The sequence below is a fragment of the Homo sapiens genome, chromosome 14 (genome assembly GCF_000001405.40).
Source record: "Homo sapiens chromosome 14, GRCh38.p14 Primary Assembly".
In the NCBI taxonomy this organism is placed as follows: Eukaryota; Metazoa; Chordata; class Mammalia; order Primates; family Hominidae; genus Homo; species Homo sapiens.
The window spans coordinates 39,432,726-39,459,123 of NC_000014.9; the positions used below are offsets into that span (position 1 = coordinate 39,432,726).

Below are 26,398 nucleotides of genomic sequence, written 5' to 3' on the forward strand. Positions count from 1 at the left end.
TTTAGTGCGAAAGGTCGTCACGCTTCTTTGTAAAACGTTTCTCAGTTTGGGCTGAGGACCCTGAGCCAAAGTGGCGGCATGCAGGGTCTTTCTCAGCCATCCCACCTGCCCAGAGTAGGGTTAAGAATTCCTGAGATTGCGCCGCTGAGAGGGAGCTGGCGGACGGGCGGGCTAACCCCGGCGGGCTGTGCCGGGAGGGGCGGTGTGGGGCGTGGCGGAGGCCGCGAATGGACCTGCCCCCTCGGTCCAACCACGCAGGTGGACTTCCGCGCACTCGCTGGTGTGTGGGGAAGCAGTGAGGACAGCGTCACCCTTTGGATTCAGAGGGAGAGAAAAAAATTGGCAAAGGGATCTGAGATCCGCAGGTTGTGACCAGCCTCTTCTCCAGGGCTTGAGGAAGGGTCTCTTTTCCCTGTGCTGAGATTTAAGGCTCTCGTTGAAAAGTTCACAGTAATGACAGAGCTTTGATTTTTTTTCTTTCTTCTTCTTCTTTTTTTGCCTGGTATCCCTAACTTAGATTTTCCAAACCATGTCCCTAACTTCACCACAGCCTACTGCAAAGTAAACTCTGGTTGCAAAGAGTGGTGAAGTCAGAAAAGATTAAGTGACTTTATGTAATAATCGAGGGTTGCTTTAGGGAGGCTGCCTCTTTATGTAATAATTGAGAGTTGCTTTAGGGAGGCTGTGATGTTGGAATAGCATCGTTCTTTTGTGGTAAACACCAAGACTTTTTGGACTTTTTTTTTTTTTTTTGGTTTTAAGGAGCGGAGAATTTAATAGGCAAGAAAGAAGGAAGAAGGCTGAAGGAAGAAGCTCCCCACTACAGAGACAGACGGAGGGGGCTCCCAAGACGAAAGAGGAGACCCCCATTCTAGATGTTCTTAACCCTTTGAGGGCAAAGCTCTCCGTTTAATGCCTTGCACATATCAGGTTGCCAACAACATGGTGTGGTTTATCAATTGTGATAGGTTACTTATTCGAGCCCCTGTTTACAAGAGTTTTAGGTAATTATACCTTATTAATTTTAATGAACTCTTAGAGGGCGACCCCAGTCGTGGGTTCGGCAGGATGAAACACTACCCATTTACCAGTTTACAGACATTTAGGTCGTTTCGAGTTATGAATAATGCTGTGAACATTCATGTGCAAGTCTTTATGTGGACGTATGTTTTAATTTGTCTTGGGTAGATACCTAGGAATGAAAGTGATGGGTCGTAGGGTAGTTCTATGTATAACTTTTTGAGAAACGGAAACTTTTTCCAAAGTGGCTGCATCATTTTTCATTCCCACCAGCCATGTATGAGGGTTTCCAGTTCTCTGACTTTTTTTTTTTTAATATTCTAGAAATGCACTGTAATTTGAGATTGATATTTTTTTCTTAGCATTTTGCTAGCAACAAGCTACCATCTTGGAGATCATTAATAATTAGTCTTTAATTATTAGGAATGGTTCCTGAGTAAAATGAAAATATGTCAGTCTGCCATAAATGAAATTCATTATTTTAGAATTTCAAACTTTCTTCTTAAATGAAGTGTGGTAGGAATCCTATTTTAACAACTGTAAGCTAAAGAATTAGCTGTGAATCTTGCCCAGTTTCAATAATAAATCAGTGAATTCCAATGGTTGCACAAAATTTATCTTATCAGGCCAATATATTTACTATTAATTAAATGTATATTGAGTATGTATATTTAGCATGTTAAGTGAGTTAGATTCTTTTGACATATATTCTATACTGCTAAAATAAAATTGACTCATATAGGACAGAATGGAATTACATTTTGTGAAGTTATAAAATCTGAGCTATGATTCAGAGTGTGGGAGGAAGTACTGACGTTATGAAGCTCATAAGTACCTAGTAGTACTAAGCTCCAGGTTCCAAAAGTGGCATATTGTCACTATAGCAACCACCATGCTTATTTGGATTTGAAACCCAGGCAACGAATGGTGGATAGGACTATAATATTAAGGTAGGTATCTGCTCTGGTGGATTGATATGCCTGCCTGTTGATAGTCAATGGTCTGTTCTGTTTTTCTTGTTATACTCATGGTTAATTCTTTTAGAGATAAATTAAGCACTTAATATTTTTATATTTCTCCTTTTCTAACATGCTAAGTTTAGTGTTTTTCCTAGTTAGGTAATTGGGGTATTAAATATATCTTACTATAGCTTTCTTTCCATTTTTGCTTAAGTTTGGCAACTTTCTTTGGGTTAAATATAACTTTTATTATACTGAATCACTTGCAATTTTATAATAGAAAAAAGTAACCATGACAGATTTTATTTTAGCTGCATCATGAAACGATGTTCAAGGCTACCAGTAAACATGAAAATTGCCTAAATTCTAATATTTCTTGAAAAAATACAGTTTTCTGAGTGATGTCTGGGTTTCAGACATTGTTGACAGGTAGAGGTGACATAATACCCTTCCAATTATCTCTTAGCATGCACCCATAAATTTACCTAGAGGCACAGGAACCTCCTGCGACAGTAGATCTGGGTACCTCATTCCCGTCACCCTTGTCTGGTGGATTGAAGTGTTTCCTAGTGGAATCATATTACAGTAAAAAGAAATGAGGGATTGAAGGGAATTCATCTTTAGAGGAGGAAGTCTGCGTTGGTGAGCTACATGACAGAGGACCGCGTCATTGGTTTGTCAGTCTAGGTGTAGCATGTCGCTGATATCACAACTTTTTCTAACCAAGCCACTCATGAGTTGATTGTGCAAGACCTCTCTCCATAAAGCAGGGATTGATAGTTCATATATCAAAGGAATCAGATACGTGTAGTGAGAGAAGAATTGGGTACTGTGCAATATAGGGAGATGGAAAGATTTTGTCTTACAGGAGGATGCTTTTCGCAAGTGGGAAAGTGGGCTCTGTGTTTCCAGATTTCCTAGTTTTTCAAAAGTAACTAAAATCCTCATTTTTAAAAAGGTTAAACCTTCAGATTGCCAATTTATTTACATTAAAAATATTCTGTGGGCATAACAAAACCAGATTTAGTCTTCAGGGCACCAGATTTCAAATTCTTTACCAAAGTTCTCAAAACTGTGGGCCAAGGCCATATTTTGTCTCTGTAGCTAGGCCTACTAGCTAATCCCCGCATTTTAAGTCCACTTCCAGAGCTATTTTTTTCCCTATCTATCCCATTTAGTTAAAAAATGAATTCAAAAGGTTTAACTTGAATGCCTGTTTTATTGCATTACTGATTTCTTCCCTTTTATTTAAGAGGATGGGTGTTTTCAGAGGTACCCTTTATTGCTTAAGTACATATTAAAAACTAAGTGTTATGTTTAACACAGCTGGTTCAACCAATAAAATTCCTTGACTTCTAGTTAAAATCAGTAATTGACTAATGATCCTCGTTGGAGTTGTGCAGCTTAGATTATAGGCAGGATCCCCCAACGGGGCTCACGGGACTGTTACTTAAGAGGCACAGTCTCCAAAGTAGTCATTTTAATTGGGTTCCTTTGGTTGTTTAACCTAACTAGCTTAAGCACTGAGAGGATTTTCTTTTCTCCTTCCCTCTGGCCCTCTTCCTCCTCTTCCTGGAGTTTTGAGGACATCCACAGGTATCCTTTGATGTGTAGGGACCGGAATGGAAAACTAAAAGCAGGAGCTAAGGTTACTCTCTTCATCTCTGAGTACCACAGTTTCTTGGAATCTTCATCAAGCTTTTCCAGGTCATACTGGCTGAGTAATCTTAAGACTTTGTCATGAAGAAATATATTATTCATGGCTAATTACTGCAATATTCTCATTGCAGAATTTAATATTTAATCCTTTGGAAAATCTTTTTAGCCCATTAGGTGCTGAAAAGGAGAAATGAAGTGAATATTTTCATATAGTAGCATTAATTGGAATGTTGTCTTGCTCTAGGCCAAAGGGGTTTCACTTGATGTGCCAATTTTAATTAGTTTTGCAGGCTGAGAAGTACTATGTTAAGAAAGATTTTGAGGTTGTCCTCATTCTACTGGAAGGAGTATCATTTGATTTGTGATGTCTGCCATAGTTGGAAAGAATTGGTGACCTGTTTAGGTAATTATTGTCTAATGTGACTATATATTAGTGTTTGTTTTCTACATTTGTTGCACTGTGCAGATACATTCTTTAGTGAATTGTATTCATGCTAATTCCTTATTTTATGAATAGCAACAGATCACTTAAATAAGTTTTATAAATTATTTCAAATTAGGAATTTTTATAATATAGCTACAACGTATTAAGTAAATTTTGACATCTATAGATGAATCAACTCGTAACTGAATTATCTGGGAATGTGAATCAGTTCTTCATTTATATTGAATATTAAAAGGGGAGTCATACTTTCATACCACAAGGAAAATAAAACAAATTTTTCATTCACTTGAAGGTTATGGAATTTCTTCCATAGTATTCAGTTTATGTAGGAAGATTCTCATATCTCTAAAATCTAACCCTTTAGCAAGAAATTTCTAGTAGAAATTCATTACATTTTTTTTCTTAAGAGTAATACATGACCATGGTAACAAAAAAATGTAGTACAAAAGTACTGTTGATGAAAAGCAACAGATTTTCATCTCTTGCCTCCCATTGTCAGGCCTACTCCCAGAAACATTTTTAACAATTTTGATGTTAGATTCATTAGGTAATTTTATTTCATTTAATTCATTTTTCTTTTTTTCCCCCATACCTTGCTCTCTTCCCTCCCCCTCCCCACCAGTAGTCCCCAGTGTCTGTTGTTGCCATGTTTATATCCATGAGTACCCAGTGTTCAGCTCTCACACGTGAGAACATCGGTATTTGGTTTTCTGTTCCTGCATTAATTCACTTAGGATAATGGCCTTCAGCTGCATCCATGTTGCTGCAAAGGACATGATTTTTCTTATTTTTAATGGCTGTATAGTATACCATGGTATATATGTACCACATTTTCTTTATCCAGTTCATATGATGGTCATCTAGGTTGATTCCATGTCTTTGCTATTATGAATAGTATTGTGGTGAACATGCGAGCATGTATGTCTTTTTGGTAGGATGATTTGTTTTCTTTTGGATATATATCCAGCAGCGGGGTTGCTGGATCGAATAGTACTTCTAAGTTCTTTGGGAAATCTCCAAACTGCTTTCCACAGTGGCTGAACTAATTTACATTTCCACCAGAGTGTATAAGTGTTCCCTTTTCTCTGCAGCCTTGCCAACATCTGTTATTTTTTGACTTTTTAAATAACAGCCATTCTGACTGGTGTCAGATGGTATCTCGTGGTTCAGATTTGAATTTCTCTGACGGTTAGTGATGTGGAATATTTTTTTCATATGTTTGTTGGCTGCTTATGTGTCTTATTTAGGAAAGTGTCTATTCATGTCTTGCCCATTGTTTAATGGGGTTATTTGTTTTTCGCTTGTTCAGTGGTTTAAGCTCTTTTAGATTCTGGATATTAGACCTTTGTTTGTGGTGTAGTTTGCAAATATTTTCTCCCATTTTGTAGGTTGTCTATTTACTCTGTTGATAGTTTCTTTTGCTGGGCAGAAGGTCTTTAGTTTAACTAGGTCCCACTCGTCAAATTTTGTTTTTGTTGCAATTGCTTTTGATAATTTAGGCATAAATTATTTCCCAAGGCTGATGTCCAGAATGGTGTTTCCTAGGTTTTCTTCTAGGATTCTTGTAGTTTGAGGTCTTACATTGAAATCTTTCATCCATCTTGAGTTAATCTTTTTATATGGTGAAAGGTAGGGGTCCAGTTTAATTCTTTTGCATATGGCTAGCTAGCTACCCCAGCACCATTTATTGAATAAGGAGCCGTTTCTCCATTGCTTATTTTTGTCAACTTTGTCAAGGATTAGAAGGCTGTAGGAGTGTGGCTTTGTTTCTGGGTTCTCTATTCTGTTCATTGGTCTATGCTGTCTGTTTTTATATCACTACTATGTTGTTTTGGTTACTATAGCCTTATAGTACAGTTTGAAATCAGGTAATGTGATGCCTCTGGCTCTGTTCTTTTTGCTTAGGATTGCTTTCACTATTCAGACTCTTTTTTTGGTTCCATATGAATTTTGGAATAGTTTTTTCCAATTCTGTGAAAAATGACATTGGTAGTTTGTTAAGAATAGTGTTGAATCTGTACATTGCTTTGGGCAATATGGCCAGTTTAACAATATTGATTTTTCCAGTCCCTGTGCATTGAATGTTTTTCCATTTGTTTGTGTCATTTATAATTTTTTTTCAGCAGTGTTTTGTAGTCCTTTTTGTAGAGATCTTTCACCTCCTTAGTTATATATATCCCTAGGTTTGTGTGTGTGTGTGTGGCTATTGTAAATGGGATCATGTTCTTGATTTGGTTCTCAGCTTCAACATTATTGGTGTATAGAAATGCTACTGATTTTTGTACATTGATTTTGTATCCTGAAACTTTACCAAAGTCATTTATCAGTTCCAGGAGCCTTTTGGTGGAGTCTTTACGGTTTTTTAGATATACAGTTATACTGATAGCAAAGAGAGATAGTTTGACATCTTTTCCTATTTGGATGCCTCTTTAGGTAATTTCAAATTATATGCCTTTACTTACACTTTTTTCTCTTCTTTTTTTTGAGAACAGGTCTCACTCTGTTGCCCTGGCTGGAGTGCATTGACAGGATCATGGCTCACTGCAGCCTCAACCTCCCAGCTCAAGCAATCCTCCTGCCTCAGCCTCCCAAGTAGCTAGGATTATAGGCAGGCACCACCACACCTGGTTAATTTTTAAATTTTTTGTAGAGATGGGGTCTTCAACTCCTGGCCTTAAGCAATCCTCCCACCTTAGCCTTTCATAGTGCAAGGATTACATGTATGGGCCACTAGGCCCAGCCGCTACCTGTGCTTTTTAACTGATTAACTTTAGACATCATCTGTTTACTCCCTTTTTGTAAAATATGAAGATGTATTTCAATTACATTACTCTCTTTCCCTCTTCCATATTCCTACCAATATTTGATAATCGTAATATTTTGTTTTTCTCTTGGTTTTTTTTTTGGAGATGGAGTCTTGCTCTATTGCCAAGGCTGGAGTATAGTGATGTGATCTTGGCTCACTGCAGCCTCCATCTTCTGGTTCAAGCAATTCTCCTGCCTCAGCCTCCTGAGTAGCTGGGACTCCAGGTGTGCATCACCACACCTGGCTAATTTTTGTATTTTTAGTGGAGATGGGTTTCACCATGTTGGTCAGGCTAGTTTTGGACTCCTGGCCTCAAGTAATCTTCCTGCCTCAGCCTTCCAAAGTGCTGGGTTTATAGGCATGAGCCACCGTGTCCAGCCTCTTGGTTGTTCTTACATTAATCAGCTTTTGCTACATAGCAGTCACAATCTTCTGTCTATAATTGGCTAGATTATAGTATGTTAGATAAATATTAGGCAAATATTCACTTTTTTCCCCTTTACCCACCTTTATGGAAAAAGCATACTTTCTCCCATGATTATTGATGTTGGATTTGGGTCTTACGATTTGTGTAAAGTTAATTTTTCCTGTCTTTCGTTTATAAGAAGGGCTCTAATTAATAAAGATGCTAGTTTCTATAAAAGGGAAACCTGAAGATCTTAATGTCAACAAAATAGCCGTGTATTTTTTCACTCCTTTAACTGTCCACTGAAGGTGTTCTTAGCAGGCGGCTTTCCTTCATGTGATGATTCAGTGACCCTAATTCCTTCTGTTTTATAGTTATACCATCCTTAAAATGCCCTGTGATTCTCTGTCTCTTGTAATGGAAGGGGAAGAGAGAATGGAGAAGGCACTTCTTAATTGCCGTAGCAAGGAAATGACAGATTACTTCCTACATTCATTGGCTAAAACTAGACACATGGTCTTGCCTAGACATAAAGGGTCTGAGAGATGAAGTTTTGCCACAAAGGAGGCCTATCCTTTTATTACTATTTTTGGCTGAAGGTAAATACTAGGGTCCTTGTATTTGCTGTGGACAGAGATGGAAGAAAACGGTGGATTTGTTTAGTATAGTTTTCTTGTATTCAGATCTTTAGTTAATCTCTATTCCTAGCTAACCTTCTCACTCTTTCCTTAATGTTCCTTAGAGATAGTTCCTCAGGTGCACTGAACCCAGAATCTCTAAGGTTTCAGTGCACAGGACAGCTTTTATCTCAATTGCAGCTTCCTCCTAGTGATGGTGGCGGCTCATCTGGAGCAGCTGCTGCGGTGAAGGCCGCTGCAGTAGGAGGGGGTGCACCTGGGGCTGTGCCCTCTGTGGAGCCCGTAGGGGGTGGGAACAGGTGATCCCAGTGGAAGCCTCACACTCTACCAAATTGGTGGGGCAGGAGCCTGCACTTCTAGGTGCAGCTGTAACCACCCAGCCATGGCTCCAGACCTGGGCATCCCTGTGCTCTCTGGGGCCCAGGGAGCCTCTTGCCCCCGCAAGTTCGGAAGTGCCTGCTCCCACTCTCCCTGGCCTCTCCCTGCTCTCAGTTTCCACTCTGGTGTGGAGCAAAGTTATAGCTTAGCCCAGGCACTGTCGTGACCCAGCCAGGTGTGTGCATGCCTGGGGCAACACTGACACACCAACTCCCACTGCCGCCTTGAGCACTGATGAGCTCAGAGGGAGCTGAAACTCTGAAACTTTGGGCACTGATGAACTCAAGAGGGAGACCGGGGGTGCTGAGGGCAGCTTGGTGTGGGCCTGTGGGCTCCCCTCAGCATGGACAGCCTGGGCACAAATGGCATGTTGATGGCAACAGGAGGCAGACAGATTCCTAGGTGGGAAGGGGCAGGTCCTTGGTGAAACCCCGTCTTGAAGCCAGGGATGGCCTGAAGCCTGGGGGCCAGGCTGCCAATTACGGGTGGAGTCCGCGGCCCAGAGTGAGAACTTACGGTGCTTTTTCCATGCCTGCCCATGGCTACCCATGGATCAATCAGCATGCACTTCCTCCCTTCTGAGCCCATAAAAACCCTAGACTCATGCAGACTCAGATACTCTTCAGGATGACCTGCCAGTGGAAAGGAGCTACCCACTACACGTCTTCTCTCTACTGAGAGCTGTTCTGTTGCTCAATAAATCTCTGCCTTGTTCACCTTCCAGTTGTCCATGTTACCTCATTCTTCATGGACATGGGACAAGAACTAGGATATCACTGAATGGTAGGTGTGAAAGGAGCTGTAATGCTTTCCTGGCCCGCTTGCCAAGCTGCAGGCAGTGACACGCTCCTGGACTATGAGAGTGAAGAGTGGTAACCCTTCTGGGGACCCAGACCTTGGGATTTCCTGAGGTAGAGCTGCTGTAACACTGTAGCACTTCCACCCTTTGTTGGCGCCGGGTGGCCGCCCCATGCAGTGGGAAGCAGCAGTGGGGCTGGGCCAGCCACGGGCTGCAGTTGTGGTGGTGGGACTGAAAGAGCTATAACACAAATGGGCTTAAACACTCCCCACTGAAACTTGCTGCCATCCCCTGCTCTCTGCACTGCAGGCAATGAGAAGGAGAGAAGAGCTGTAGCCCTTCTGGAAGCCCAGACCTTGGGGCTTCCTAAGCCAGAGCTGTGACATGCTATAACACCCTCTTTGGATGCTCTGTGGTTCCTGGCATCTCCGGGCTTTTGGGCGCCACCTTGTTCCCCTCATCGAGACACTGGTCTTTGCAGCAGAAGCTGCTTGCAGTACATCTGGTCCAGCCAGAGCCTCACATGGAGCCAGTGCCTGTGCTGGTGCTTGGTGCTGCCCGCTCCGCAGCAGCAGCTGGTATGCCTGGCTGTGCGCAGTGGCCGGATTCCACACTGACTTGCTCATGCATCCCTTGTCACTGAGTGCTTGGCTCACCCTTAGTAGCCGTGGGATCCGGGCCAATAGTGAGAGCGAAGCGCAGCATGCTGGGTCGAGTGGGTGGAATAGTCCAGTGGGTGTGAGCGAACTCAAGCAGAGGCATCGCCAGCCACAGAAGTTTCCGTTTGGCAGAGCGACACCCAAAGGAGCATGGGTCACTAGTATGTTATGTTCTGCTTCAGTTGTCAATACACTCCTGTCCACTTTTTGCCTTTGAGGAAATATTTGGAATCTCTTAGTGGCAATGGTCATCTCTTTCCTAGCTGAGTTCTCTTCTTATTATACAGAGTCAAGTATCTATACATTGTTTTTAAATTTTAAGTTTCGGGAGTCAGAGGAAGTAAATCTAGAATATCTTCAATTAGTACCCTTAACAGAATTTTAATTTTTGAAAAAACATGTATTGCTTGAACAAGATGCATTTTCTATCCATGATGGACTGAGGATAAATAAATAGGGGGTTCTGGAGGATATGTAAAAAGGTATAATATATAATCCTTTCAACCTGAAGAATTTCTACTTTACTCCAACTTTGATGTCACTGCTGGCTTACCTTTCTAGAACACTGATTCTATCGCAGTTCTTCTTCTTCTTCTTTTTTTTTTTTGAGATAGAGTCTCGCTCTGTTCCCCAGGCTAGAGTGCAGTGGTGTCATCTTGGCTCAGTGCAACCTCTGCCTCCCGGGTTCAAGTGATTCTCCTGGTTCAGCCTCCCTAGTAGCTGGGATTACAAGTATGTGCCACCATGCCCAGCTAATTTTTGTATTTTTAGTAGAGATGAGGTTTTACCATGTTGGTCAGACTGGTCTCAAACTCCTGCCCTCAAGTGATCTGCCTACCTCTGCCTCCCAAAGTGCTGGGATTGCAGGCATGAGTCACCACACCTGGCTATCATAGTACTTATTTAGAAATGTTCAGTAATTTTTTTCCTTGCTCATATTTCTGTGTAAACTCTGATTGGTCAATACCTGCCTATCAGTACTTGTCCCTCTACTGAGAACTACTCAGTTTATTGTGTTATCTACATGCCACGTTCATTCTTTTGCTTTTGTACATGTGGTCTCTACTCTCTAAAGTAACCATCTTTTCTGTATCTGAGTCCTATTGAAACATAAATATTGAATTCAAATTTCACTTTTTTCAAGTCTTCTGTCCTGACTACTCCAAACTTAGTGATGCTTTTCCTCTAATCAGCAACAAAACTTATTTATCCATATTATTTGTTATTGTTTTACACTTCTTTGTGTTCTTCCTTACAAAGTATAGACTCCCTAAAGGAAAAGCCTTTGCTTTATACCTTTTTCATTGTCCTTCAGTGTCTAGCATGGTGAAGATTTCATGCTGAGTATATCATAAATATTTATTGATTGAAGCCCTGAATTGTTTACTTCTACTCAAAGTGTGTTCTGTAGACGGATGTCAGTCCATGAACTGTTTATTACAGCTTTGCTGGAATATAAGTAAAGAAATTGAGAATAAACTTTAGAAACGTTTATAGTCATTTGACATAGTAGTTTTATATCAGTTGAAATTTATAGTAAAAAATGTGGCTTCTAATTTGCATGTTTTTTTTCTTTTTTTCTTGAGACGGAGTCTCGCTCTGTCGCCCAGGCTGGAGTGCAGTGGCGTGATCTCGGCTCACTGCAAGCTCCGCCTCCTGGGTTCACGCCATTCTCCGCCTTAGCCTCCTGAGTAGCTGGGACTACAGGCGCCCACCACCAGGCCCGGCTGATTTTTTGTATTTTTAGTAGAGACGGGGTTTCACCGTGTTAGCCAGGACGGTCTCGATCTCATGACCTCGTGATCCGCCTGCGTCAGCCTCCCAAAGTGCTGGGATTACAGGCGCGAGCCACTGTGCCTGGCCTAGTTTGCATGTTTAAAAAAATTTCTGGTAATCATCTTAATTTCATTTTATAAAAGTATCAGTCCACAATGGAATAGACAAATTAAAAAATGGCACCTTACCATAGATTGCTTGAGAAGCACTGATTTAGACTACAAGGGATATGAGAATTTAGCAATGAAGAGATCAGTATGTTTTGGCCTAGTAGAAGATGATTTCATGTTGGAGGTGAGATCTTTACTTGAAGGTTAAATAGCATTTGGATGGTTGTAGTGCACTGGGTTGTTTCAGGTAGGGATGACAAGGTTTTGGACCACAAATGGAGTAGAGAGAGGTGTGATGATATGTTTTGTGGTGACCAGGGAGGAAAGAGTTCTGGCAGAATTAAAAATCAAATTTATGAAAAGCTGACCAGACACCAGATAAAATGAGCATTTCCTATTCATTTGGTTACTGCTTGAGCTATGGCATGATGAAAACCTTCATTCACCATGTGTTTATGGCTGATTTTCCAGGGGACTAGTAATACTAAGTATGTTTTAAATTTTATGTATTTGAAACATTGCTTTTTAATTTAGCCTTTAAAAAATTAGATAGTTGGCTTATTAATGTAATTGCCAAATGTAGCTTTAATATGAAGTGACGTAAGTAAAATGTAAAGAAAAATAATTGATGACAGTTATTTTAGGCCAGGCATGGTGGGTCTTGCCTGTAATCCCAGCACTTTGGGAGGCTGAGGTGGGTGGATCACCTGAGGTCAGGAGTTCGAGACCAGCCTGGGCAACATGGTGAAACCCCGTCTCTACTAAAAATACAAAATTAGCCAGGCATGGTGCTGTGCGGCTGTAGTCCCAGCTACGCAGCAGGCCGAAGCAAGAAAATCACTTGAACCCAGAAGGTGGAGGTTGCCGTGAGCGGAGATTGCAGCACTACACTCCAGCCTGGGCAACAAAAGGGAAAATCCGTCTCTCAAGAAAAAAAACATTATTTTAAATAGAAAAACCCTGTTTTTATCTTGTTTTCTATTTTCCTTTGTCAATTTCATCTTGGACCAAAGCTTTTCCTCATTATTGAATTACAATCATGAATTCAGAGACCTGGGATTAAAAAGAATATTGATATAATGATTGTTCCTGGAGAATTAACATTTAGCTTATAGCATAAAATGTGAGCTAAACTAGTTATATTTTTTTATTTTGGTAAACTATGCATAACATAAAATTTACTATTTTAACTATTTTAAGTGTACAATTCAGTGGCATTAAGTACATTCACTTCATTATACAGCAGTTACTGCCACCCTTTTTCATCTTCTCAAACCAAAACATTGTATCCATTAAACAATAGCTCTCCATTTCCCATTTCTCCACTGAATTAGTTATTTGAAATCTACCCATTTTGGTATTTTCTTACTTGTCTTATTTGCTACTTTTATAAATGAATATATATTAGGTACTCCTTATATATATGGAACTGGGCCAGATGCTGAGCAGGGTTGAATTACAGTTATAAAGAAGGCTGCACAATTTTCCATGATATTACGTGGTTTCCTGGGTGACAGAGTCTTGTTGCATCACATTCTTTATCTTACATCCAAACTACAATCCAATTAAATGTGCAAAAGTACACAAGCTGATTTTTGTTTCAGAGGTTACCAGGAAAATAATTACACCAGTCTGACAATTTTAAATCAAGATTGAAGTATTGCTTTGGTTTCTTCTGAGATTTTGAGTACCTAAATGAACATATTTGCAAAATTATTAAATATGAAAGTGGGTGGTAGTTTGGTTATTTTTAAAATCCTGAATAAATTTTTATATTTATATGGATTTTGAGGTGTCCTCATTTTATTTTTTCCTCTTTAACTCTGTCATGTTCATTTGCACCCCTTGTTCCCCTGACCTGTAAGTTCACCTATTTCCCATGGTGTTCTTTAGTCTTTTTTTAGAAATCTCACCTTTTTCAGTTTCAATTCTCTCTCTTTAGGGGGGAAAACTCTCCTAATTCTGTATTTCTTAAAACTGCGAGTAACAGTTCTCAGTCTAGAACTGTGACCTGAAATTTCCACTTATATGGTCTGCTGTCACATCAAACAAAGCATGTTTATTGTTGGACTAGTCATTTTTCCATTAATTTTGGAAACCCTCCCCTTTTAAAAGTGGCACTATGTTCATGTCATTATCTAAGCTTGAAAATTTGTGGTATTTCTTTCCCTGTTCAAGTAATAGCCAATCTCTACTAACTGTTTCTGTCTATTGTGATAATCACACCTGTCCTTTCCTTTCCATTTTTTTTCATTTTGTTCAATATAGGGCCTGATCACCTGATGCCTAGGCTACTGCAGTAGTTCCCCACCAGTGGAATTTTCCCTCAAGTACTTATAGCATTTTCTTTGTGAAAATTGTGAATATTTAGATTACAGTCAATTGTGTCTCTCTCTCACATGGTCTTTTTATCTTTTCATTCCCCAGAAACCTTGGAGCATTGTTGCTACTAAACACATATTTTTGAGAATTTGAGAATATGATATTCTAGTTATAATCTCTTCTCCCTCTAGTGTATTTTGTATAGCATTGCCAGGTTCTCCATTAATTAAACAAATATTGAGTGCCTATTATGTGCTAAGGACTCTTTTAGGTGCTAAGGTTATAGTAAACAGCAAACAAAAACTTATGATCTTGGGTGGCTTATATTCTAGAGAAGTAAAAGACTGATAAATTAGCAAAGTACATAGCCTGTTAGGCAGTGATAACTGCAAAGGAGAAAAAAAATTAAGGAGGAAGACAGGGAGTATGGAGTGTGAGACATTGACATTTTGTTAGAACAAGGCTTTCTGAGGGACAAAATATTAAAAAAAAGAGATTGATATTTTGGATTAAAGTGGCTAGGAAAGCCCTTCCATAAAGGTAGCGTTTGAGTAAAAACTTGAAGGAATTGAGTGAGGAAGGCAATACATATGTGCAGGAAGAAGGTTCCAGGCAAAGGGAACAGCAGGTGTAAAGGACCTCAGATGCGAGTGTGCCTGTCATGTTTGAATATCGACGGGGAGCAGAGTGAGCTGGAAGATGACTAGTAGGAGGCAAGGGTGTGTGTTGGGGAAGAGGTGTGGAGTGGAAAAGTACAGATTGAATGGGGCCACATAGATCACAATTAGAGGTGTGGTTTTTACTCTGAGCTGGCCAGCCTTTGTAGGAATTTGAACATGCAAGTGACATCTGACTTAGGTGATAAGAGAATCATTCTGGCAATGATATTGAGGTAAGAGAGGAAGCAGAGAGACCAGCTAGGAGCTTTGGCACAAATCCAGTGAGAGGGAGATCTGGTTTGGGATATACTTAAAGTCGAACTAACAGAATTTCTGATAGATTGGATGTGGGGTGTGAAGGGAAAAGAAAAGTCAAGGATTATTTGAAAATCCTTGGCCTGAGAAGCTGGAAGAATGGAGTTGCCATTAACTAAGATGGGTGTAGCCCTGAGAGGAGCAGATTTGGCAGGGGGTTTTCAGGAAGTTCAGCTTTGAATGTGCTAAATTTGTGATGCTTGCTTGATGTCCAAGTCGAATGAGATGGCCTGGCTTCATGTGAGTGTAATAGATTAGACTGAAGTTCAAGAAGGAGGTCTGAGAATTGTCATCACAGAGATAATATTTAAAACTGTGAGACTGGTTAAGTCATCTAGAGAAAAAGTGTAGAAAGAAAAGAGATTACACTTTTTGAAATACTTTACACCTTCATCTTTTGGCTTAGTACATACCCTCAAAGGCTGCAGGTTTTCCATGACGTTTCATAGTGGAATTTCATGTAAATCTCTTACTTCAGTCAAGCTGGAACACTTACGTTGCCTAAGCTCTCCTTTTGCATTGCTGCTTTCCTATGCTCATTTATTCTTCGTACAAAGAGTGCTTTCTTACCTGCTTTCTACCTAACTTAAATGCAGTTTTCTCCAAGCAGCATTATCTTATTACCACAGAGTGTTCTGTTTCATTTTGCAAAATTCTGCATCTTTATTTCACCCCTCCTAATCTTGTCTATAAAGTTCATCATATTTTTGTATATGTCTTTTTTTCCTGATGAGCTAATGGGATCTATGGCTGGTACCATAATTTTGAATATTTCATCTTCCACAGTGATCAGACCCCCAGTTCTACTTCACAGAGGCAATCTGTGGGGAATCAGTCTTTCCAAACACTATCAAGCTGGAGGAAGTGAGGCTGTTTGGGAATATCTGGACATTGATCCTGCTTTCTCTTCTTAGGTAAAGTTGTGGCTTTACTGGCACTGGGTTTGGCTCAAGAACCAGTAAGAACCCAGATGTTTGTAATTTTCCATTAAAGGGCATAGCTTGTTAGAGTTTGTTCTTCCCCAAATGGTGATGTAAGCCCTGAGCATCAAAGAGAAGTGTCACCCTCATAATTGAACTTGTTAAATATGGCAAAATGTCACCTTGTTCTCTCACTGGGAGTGCATGACTCTGGAGGCCAGTCACAGCTGTGTTGAGCCATGCTACATCTGTTCTTGTTCTGAGTGGCAGTTTCACTGCTAATAAGATTTTGAATCCTTAGCTAAGTAAGTCAGGAACTAAACATAAACCTATTTTCTCTGTGTGTGTGTGTGTGTGTGTGTGTGTGTGTGTGTGTGTGTGCATGCACTCTATTTCCTGTAGTTCATAGCTGATAGCTAATATTTGTTTAAGGTTTACCTACTATGGACTAGACATAGTTCTAATGCACTGCTTGCATTAACTCTTTTAATCTTCATAACATTCATATGAATTAGCCATCTCCATATTTATAGCCATTTTCTGATAAGAAAATTGAGGAAAGAGAAGTTGAGTAACTTTCTTTAACAGACTGTAATGTTAAGTGGAGGAATGGGGTTTGATCCCAAGAAGGTTTGATCCAGAGTTTATATTTTTAACTGCTGTACTATACTAGTGATATGGTTAGGCTTTGTGTCCCCACCCAAATCTCATCTTGAATTGTAGTCCCCAGGTGTTTAGGGAGAGACCTGGTGGGAAGTGATTGCATTATGGGGTCGCTTTCCTCCATGCTGTTCTCATGATAGTGAGTGAATTCTCATGAGATCTGATGGTTTTATAAATGGTAGTTTTTTCTGTGCTGACACATGTACTTCTCTCTCCTGCCACCATGTGAAGAGGGTCCTTGGTTCCCCTTCACCTTCCATCATGATTGTAAGTTTCCCGAGGAAACAAAGCCAAGTGGAGCTGTGAGTCAATTAAACCTCTTTCCTTTATAAATTACCCACTCTCAGGGAATTCTTTATAGCAGTGTGAAAGTGGACAGCTACAACTAGTTTATTTGAAATGCTGCATGCCAATTTTGATTATTTCTTTTTGTCTTGTGGTGGGTGTTTCTATAATTTTAAATAATATGCTTATCTTACTACTTCTTGATTTATCAACTAAGGCGATAACTGTCGATGACTTGATGTTTAAGATGATTTACTCTTCTGCTACTCTATTGCCCTTCTTCAAACTTTATATAGTTATATATTATTGTTGTTATTTCCTCTGTTGGTTAGCTTTGTGACTCCAATATGCCTGAACCTCTATTTCATGTTCCATTAGCTTTTGGCAGTACTGTATCCTTTATTGCCCTTTTTATAAAGTGAGAGTTTATTACCCATACCCTCTACTTTAATTTTTACCTCCCTTCTGTCTTTTAACTTCTGTCAAATATCCATTTACTTTAAAATTATCAAAGTTTATAATATTTATATTCTATTTAAGGAAGGCAGTATAACTTTGTGGTTAAGAATGTGGACATTGGAATTAGGTTGCCTGGGTTTAAATCCAAGCACTACCACATCCTAGCTGTGTCACCTTGGCAAATTATTTAATTTCTCTGTGCCTCAGTTTTCTCAATTATAAAATGAGGATAATGTACTCTTATTTCACAGGATTATTGTGAAGATTTATGTAAAACATTTGAAACAGGGCCCGATACGTAATAAGGACTATATAAATGATTGCTATTAGTGTTATAATTATTCTGTAATCATAGTGAACTCTTCCATGCTTTCAATTTATTCTAAAAGTTCAATACATGATATTTAACTAATTAATTTGTTATGATTATACAATACAGAACCAAGTAGTACACTGTGATTACATTTCTTTGTCTCTGTGTTCAAAGTTGTGACCCTAAAAATAATGTTTCTAGTATCAAGGTCAAATGGGGTATCTTATCTTCCACTCCCTAAAATTAAAAAAAATGTAGCATTTTAATTTTATTGATAATTAGATGATGACTTTCTTCTGTATCTCCCCTCTCCCACAGAATTTGGAATTGCTTTTTTTTTTACTGACAAAAGAATAAGTTATTTTAATCATATTCTCAAAATTATCTGACTTCTCTGTCACACTTGGTTGTAAGAACTCACTCTCTTCTCGGAGACAGTCCTTTTATGATCCATGGAAGAAAAAATTGATTAATTGGACTTACCAAAACTGAAGACTTTTGCTCTACAAAAGATTCTGTTGAGAGAATGAAAACACAGGTTATATCTGGGAGAAAACATTTTCAAATCACATATCTCTTAAAGAATGGATATCCAAAATATAAGAAAAAAATTAAGGAAACAGCCACTTGTAAAAAAATGGACAAATGATCTGAACAACTGCTTCAAAAAGACTTATGGATGGCAAAAAAGACTTATGGATGGCAAATAACCATCTATAAAAAGATTCTCAACATTATTTGTCATTAAGGAAATTGAAACAGCAAGATATTACTGACATACCTGTTAGATTGGTTAAGAGAAAAAAAAAACCTGACAATACTAAATGCTGGTTATCTCATACTTGCTACTTTGGAAGATGGTTTAGCAGTGTCTTATTAAAGTTAAACACAGACTTACCACATGACCCAGCAAAAGCACCTTTAGGTATTTACCAAATTGGTTTGAAAATGTAAATCCATACACGTGCTTTAATCATAGTTGTCAGCTTTGTTCATAATCATCAAAAACTAGAAGCAACCAAGAAGTTCTTCAGTAGGTGAATGCATAAACGGTGGTACATCCATGCAATGGGTTATTATTCAATGATAAGCAATTGATGCTACAACATGGATGCGTCTTAAATGCATTTTCCCAAGTTATTGAAGCCAGACTGAAAAGGCTACATCATATTGAATGATTCCATTCATATGGCATTCTAGAAAGGGCCAAATTTAAGACTGGAAAACCAATCAGTGGTTGCTAGGGATTTGAGGAAAGGGGAGTTTTCACTTGGGGGAAAGAATGGGGGAGTTGTAGAGTTAAAAGTAAACTGTAGTGGTGGACATATACTATGCATTTGAAAAAACTGATAGAACTTTATAGCATAAAGAGCTTAATATGTGCAAGTAAAAAAATCAATCAACCAAGAGTTAGGGATCCCGGAGGGGAATGCAATGGTGACAAAAGAACCTAACAAGCTTGTTTCAGATATGTGATATAACTTCACTAAAGGGATGGGGGAAAAGGTGCTGACCTGAATAATTTTTGGAAAACAGTGTTTTAACTAGAAACTGTAAGATTAAAGACAAAAGTGTACATAAATGCTGCAGCTGGTAAAGTTGTTTCTCACAGGGGTATTGGTTAGCAATTCTGAAACTGCTGTACGTGTATACTGGAAACTGACAAATAAGTAAATGTATTACCATACATTTGGTGATTGATGGGAGCCAAGTTTCTCACTATTGGAGAAGAAGGTTGCAGAAAAGCAAGAGGATAGAATGAACCATGTGGTACTGAATTAGATTTGGAGACACCAATATGAAATTATATTTAGTTTAATATAGATACTGCTGGGCTTTGTAGCAGGTGGCTAGTTTCATAGTGTGCGGTGTTCTCATTTTTCCCTCACCTTCACCCACCCAGACCACAACCCAAACACAATTGTCTTTATTTTTCTGCCTGTCTTTTTGCCAGTAGCGAAAATGTTATTTGTTCATGCCTGAGATAGGTTGTTAACACAAAATTCTAATGAACTAGTCCAAACGCTTAACTTTTGTAGCTGGAAGACCTTCAAACATTTTAAACAAAGAAAAAAATCTTGTTTTTTTCTTTTCCTTTTGGATAGCATAGAGAACTTTTTATTTTTTGTGAAGTAGAATGTGAGTCCTTTTGGGTATATTGGAATTTCTCTGGGGACAATTTTGAAAGAAACTACTGTATACATCAAAAGAACATAAGGATTTCTGTTGTCCAACTGTCTTCAAAATTTTACCTAAAGTGTTCCATTAAAAAAGGCTACTAAGTAGAACTACTAAAATGAATAATAAAAAATATAAAAATGAATAATGAAAAAATACAAAAAAAATAAAAAATAATTCAAAAATTTACCTAGAGTACCATTTAAAAAAGGCTCCTAAGTCGAGCTACTAAAATGAATAATAAAAAATGTAAATTTCAAAGTAGCCTAATGTAGCAAGTTGAGAAGTAGAGCTTTTCCCATTCCCTGTGATTTTGGGCTGAGGGCCCAGAGCTGAGAACAAAGCATATTAGTGCCTGGATTTCTAAAGAAAGGATGCTGCTCCATCTGTGTGAAACTAGCTATGGCCACAGTCATTGCCAGGGAAGCAGTTCTAGCCAGTTCCTTGCATATGGTGGCTCTGTGTAGTGCCATGTGACTTTGCCAGCTTGTTTATAGCTAATTGGTGATTGTTGGGTCAAGTGCTCTTTCACTCTAACTGTACCCAGGCCAGTGGCCTACCGGAAGATGCAATGAAGACATTGCCTACATAGAAGTGGCCATTTGCTGGTCAATTAGATATTTCTTTTTATTTTTCTTGTTTTTGAGACAGGGTCTCACTCTGTCACCCAGGCTGGAGTGCAGTAATGCCATCATGGCTCACTGCACCTTTGACTTCCTGGGCTTAAGCGATCCTCCTGCCTCAGCCTTCTCAGTAGCTGGGAATATATGTGTGCACCACCACACCTGGCTGATTTTTTTTTTTTTGAGATGAAGTTTCACTCTTGTTGCACAGGCTGGAGTGCAATGGCACGATCTCGATTCACCACAACCTCCGCCTCCTGGGTTCAAGCGATTCTCTTGCCTCAGCCTCCCAAGTAGCTGGGATTACAGGTGCCTGCCACCACACCTGGCTAATTTTTTTGTATTTTTAGTGGAGACCAGGTTTCACCATGTTGGCCAGGCTAGTGATCCACCCACCTTGGCCTCCCAAAGTGCTGGAATTACAGATGTGAGCCACCACGCCCGGCCCTGGCTGATTTTTTATTATTGTTTTTTGTTTTTGTTTTTGTTTTGTAGAGATGGTGTCCCACTATGTTTCCCAGGCTGGTCTCAAACTCCTGGGCTCAAGTGATCCTCTTGCCATGGCCTCCCAAAGTGGTGTGAGCTACTGCACCTGGCTGAATCTCCTTTCTGAGATTCTTTCTTTTAGTTTAGTTTTTTTTTTTCGTTTGTTTGTTTTTGAGACAGAGTCTTGCTCTGTCACCCAGTCTGAAGTGCAGTGGTGTGATCTCGGCTCACTGCAGCCTCTGCCTCCCAGGTTCAAGCGATTCTCCTGCCTGAGCCTCCCGAGTAGCTGGGATTACAGGTATGCGGCACCATGCCTGGCTAATTTTTGTATTTTTAGTAGAGATGGGGTTTTGCCATGTTGGCTAAACTGGTTTCAAACTCCTGCCCTCAAGTGATCCACCTGCCTCAGCCTCCCAAAAGTGCTGGGATTACAAGCATGAGCCACCATGCCTGGCTAGTTTTGGTTTGTTTTTAAACAGAAGTTACAGCAAGATAGGCCGTTGCTTATAAGAGCAAAACCCAGTAAAGCACAGATAAATAACTGAGTCATGTCAGTGTTGAAATATTGAAATAGAGCTCCATCAACTCCTTCTAGAGCTGCCTGAATCCAAATTAAAAATATTTTTTCATGCCATCAAGTTCTATTTAAATTTCATATAAGCTTGTTTTCAGGTATAAACAGTTTTTGGTATTGGGAATAGTGCTCTTCACTTGTCAGTTTATGGGAGACATTCTTTTTGTTTCTGTCCTCCATACATATCCACTTGAAATCCTTATCTGAAAGGCTACTGTTGTTACACCAGTGATTCTATTTGAAGCTTCCACTATAGTTCTTATCCACTTGAGCTATAAGGACTGACAGCATCTTCTATTGCCATCAGGACTCCTTTAGGCTCAGGGAATGTGGTTACATTTTGTATCTGTTAAGCAAAGGAAGGCTTTAAAATCGTAAAATTGTGTTTATTTTATAGAGTAAAATAGTGTTTATTTTACAGAGTAATAATCTTAGTGTTGTTCTCCATCCTATTTAAAAAGTGTCCCTGTCAAACAAAAACTTCACTTCTAAGGAGAAAACATGTGATAGGATGATTGACCAGAAGGTTCAAACTATTGAATTTTGGTGGGTTTGTAATAAAATGTTAATTTCTGGGTTATATAGAAATCTCATACGTTAAACTAGAGGAGAGGGGGAGAGGAGAAGAGGAGAGAGAGGAGGGAGAGAGAGAAGAGAAGAGAGGAGAGGAGAGAGAGGAGGAAAGAGGAGAAGAGGAGAGTTGAGAGGAGAGAGGAGAGGAGGGAGAGAGAGAGAGACGACAGGAGAGAGAGAGAAAGGAAGGAAGGGAAGGAAAGACAGTCATCTTTTCCAGGTTTATGCTTTCCACCACAAACCCAAGAGAGTAATCCAGCTTCTATAAATAACTGCAGGCCTCACCTTGTTTCTGTAGATTTCCTAGAGGGAAACTGTACTGAAATTCTCATGATCACTATCATCTGTCCCTGTTAAGTAGACAGTGGGGATGTCCCTCTCTCCCTCCAAGGTTGGAATGTGTGAGTTAGAAACACAGAACACACTGGGAACTCCAGCTTGACCTTCTGCCTGTTCCAAATGAGGCTTTTTCTTGTTTTCCTTTCTGGTAGCTTTTCTGTCTATCTAATACCACTTGGCAACCTTTTTCCATGATAGCAGCTCTCAGCACTTTTTCTTATAACTGACTTTAACCTTAGGGGGCTTTCTTTAGCAGTTGCAACTCTTGCATGCAGGTTCTTAGTCATCTTTTATCTCTAGTGCTGAGCACAGGCTCTGGGCAGTAAGAATTTGTTGGATGAATGAAGGAGTGGGCTCGTGTAGCTAGGCAGTTTAAACTTACTCTCCCAACACCATCTTTTTCTATATATTTTAATTAATGAATGGGATCTTGCTCTGTCACCCAGGCTGAAGTGTAGTGGCGTGATCAGTACAGCCTCAAATTCCTGGACTCAAATGATTCTCCCACCTCAGCCCCCCAAATAGTGGGACTGCAGGCTCAACACCATCTCTAAATGATAGCTTTTATCGGAGCTCCTGCCAGCCCGCTGGGGGTGGCTACGTGCTCTTTACACTGCTCTTTAAAAAAGAGCAATGATGTTAAGAACCTTAATTCTACATATATTTATTATATAAGGCAAGTGTTAGTTGTTATTGTCATAGAAGATACAAAAATAACCACAACATAATCCCTGGTTTCCAAGAGTTTTTAATGTAGTGGAGGAGACAGATGTTAGTAACTTTAACGTAGGGAAGGGTAAATTCTGCAAAGACTTCATGAATATGGTGGCTTTTGAGCTGGTCTTTGAAGGCTGGAGGAATGTAACACTTGGATATTATGCAGAAGAAGGAATGTTATTCCAGGTGGAGCAACATGAGTAAAAGCATAGGAGCAAGGAAAAAGGAAGCACAACTAGGAAATGAAGGCAGCACTATGCAGCTTTGTCTGTGTATAATGACTGGAAAGGTAACATGGTAACTAACCATTGTGTAAAGGATTTTGAGTGCCAAACTGAGCACTTTGGATTTTGTTTTGAGCAAAATTGAAAGCCATCAAATAGTTTTGAGCAAGGAGATGACATATAGTAGAATTGTTTAATAAAGTGGTTTTTAATTGGTACTATGTATGAAAATACTCTGTGATGTTTGTAGGTAATGATCATTCTAGGTTTTCACTCAAATTGACTGACTCCCAATTTATGGAGTGGAACATGGGTGTGTGGATTTTAGGCTCTACAACTAGTTCTGATACAAACTAGTGATTAAGAACACCTGAAGTAGTAGAATGGACATTAAAGAAGCTGTCAAAAATGTCAGACTGTTTAATGCCCAGTGACTTCTGAATTTTAGTTTCTACATCTGAAAAGAATTAGGAATAATAATACTTGCAAGATATACCTCCTAGGGTTATTGGGAAGATCACATGTGATAATATACAGTCATGCACTGCATAACAACGTTTTGATCAGTGATGGACCGCATATACAATGGTGGTCCCATAAGATTATAATGGAGCTGAAAAATTCTATTGCCTGGTGATGTGATAGCCATCCTAACAGTAGTGCAACACATTACCTTTTCTATGTTTAGTTATACAAATACTATTATATTACAATTGCTAACAGTTTTCAGTACAGCAACATGTACAGATTTGTAGTCTAGGAGCAATAGGCTATACTGTATAGCTCAGGTTTGTAGTAGGCTATGCCATCAAGGTTTGTGTAAGTATACTTTATGATGTTTACAGAATGATAAAATCATCTAATGATACATTTCTCAGAACACATCCCTATTGTTAAGTGATGTGTGACTGTTTAGAAAAATGTTTTATGGGCTGCAATAAATACACAAATATAAGGAATGATTATAATCATATTTGTGTTTTAGTTGTAAAGAGTTAGTTTAAGCAATGGGTTTATTGAAGAATAAAATCAGGATCAAGGAAATGGGAAACACCTACATGGACCTTATCAGCTGCTTGCTTGGTGTGGAACATTATGGTCATCTTTTCTTTTTTGGCTTTTGGAATTCATTCTTTCTAAATAACTATTTATTGAGTGTCTACTGTGAGTCATGCATTGTTATAGGTGTTGGAGATAGAGTGGTGAACAAAGATTCTCTGCCATTACAGAGTGTTCTCGTGAGAGTAGATGGAAAGTGTATTAGTCTGTTCTCACATTGCTATAAAGAATTATAATCATGGTGGAAGGGGAAGCAAGCACGTCCTTCTTCACAAGATGGCAGAAGAAAGAAGTGCCGAGCAAAGGGGGAAAAAGCCCCTTATAAAACCATCAGATTTTGTGAGAACTCACTCACTATCAGGAGAACATGAGGGTAACTGCTCCCATGATTCAGTTACCTCCTACCGGGACCCTCCCATGACATGTGGGGATTGTGGGAACTACAAGACGAGATTTGGGTGGGGACACAGCAAAACCACATCAGAAAATAAATTTATAATAGGTCGTAAGTACTACAGAGGAAAATAAAACAAGTTAAGGTGATGGGGGCAATTGCTCATTTAGGTAGGATGGTCAGGAAAGCCCTCTCTGATGAGATGATGTTTGAGCAGAAATCTGAAGGAGTAAAGAGAATAAAACATGTGGTTGTCTGGTTAGAAGACAAGTCTAGGCAGTGAGAACAGCAAGTGAAAAAGCCCTGAGGTTGAAACATACTTGTGTATTCATAGAATACTGAGAAGGCCATTGGGAATGGACCATTATAAGCAAAGAAATAGTAGTAGGAGTTGAGGTCAGAGAGTTAGCAAGTGGGACAAGATCATTTAGGGGCCTCTAGGCCATGGCAAGGGCATTTTTTTTTTTCTTTCCTGGGGATGATAGACATTGGAGGGTTTTGAGCAGGGAAATAAAACATTGTGACTTACAATGTAAAATGATAAGTCTTGTTGCTATTAAATTTCCAAACAAAACTATCAAGTAGGTAGTTAATATTGAAGTCTGAAGTTCAGGGGAGAAACCTGGGCTGGAGATAAAAAGTATGAATGTATAATTTGTTGTCAACATATAGATGATATTTAAATCCATCTCAAATGTTCTTAACTGACTCTCTTGCTTGGAAAAATTTAGGGTGTATTGTTCCAAAATTTTTTATATTTAAATCTTTAATCCACCTGGAATTTTGGAACATAGTTTGATATCACATTCCAGTATTTTTTTTCCATATAGATAACAAACACTATCAAATTAACCATTCTTTTCTCCATATGTATAACCAGCCTCATTTATTACGCTATTTTTTCCCAATGAATTTTTGTATATAAAACTCTCCTGTATACTGGTATCTATTTTTGTATTCGCTACTCTTTCCATGGTCTGTTTGCTCAATCCCAAACCACTTTTCCTATTGATTTGATTGCAGAGGCTTTATTATATGTGTCTGATTAGGTTTGTCCCTCTTTACCCTTCTTATATTTTATACTTTTTGGGAGTATTCTCAGGCATTTTTTCTTTCATATGAATTTTAACATAATTTTATTAAACGAACAAAATACTACATTTGATTTATATGAATTTTGAGAATTCATATAAATTTTGACATGAATTTTACAATTTATGTCTTTCCAGTGTTCCATGGCTAAATAACAATAACTGTTATAACATTATTAGGTTTTGTTTTCTTCATGTAGGTTAAGATTTTGTTTTCTTCATATAGGTTCTGTGTTTTCCTTGTTTACATTTATTACTACTGTACCCCTATTATAGTTTTAGCTGTTATTGTAAGAGGAAAAATTTTCACCTTTTCCTCTTTTGGTTACTGGTTCCAAGTACAAAAAAGTTCTTGATTTTTCTAAATTTAACTTTACTGTAGTCATCTTACCAAATTCTTATTATTAAATCAGGATGCTTTCATTGGTATATTTTCTAAATATATAATCATGTAATCATTAATTTCCTTTTCAGTGTCCATATAAATTACTTCATTTTTGGTCTAATTTCTCTTTATCATGCTTTTTTTGTTACCTTTGCCCCCTTTTT

At 38.9% G+C, this 26,398-nt stretch overlaps 1 long non-coding RNA gene across 13 annotated transcripts in view, besides 1 other annotated feature; it reads left to right on the forward strand.

The window, feature by feature from the left end:
• Positions 1-26,398, forward strand: part of LOC105370461 (uncharacterized) — a 433,650-nt gene that overhangs the window by 377 nt on the left and 406,875 nt on the right. The gene's annotated exons all lie outside the window — the stretch shown is intronic.
• Positions 137-306: a silencer, noted in NCBI's record as "silent region_5691". NCBI's record gives its function as "represses an Ori minimal core promoter by ATAC-STARR-seq in GM12878 lymphoblastoid cells {active_cell/tissue: GM12878}" and the evidence as "EXISTENCE:reporter gene assay evidence [ECO:0000049][PMID:35858748]".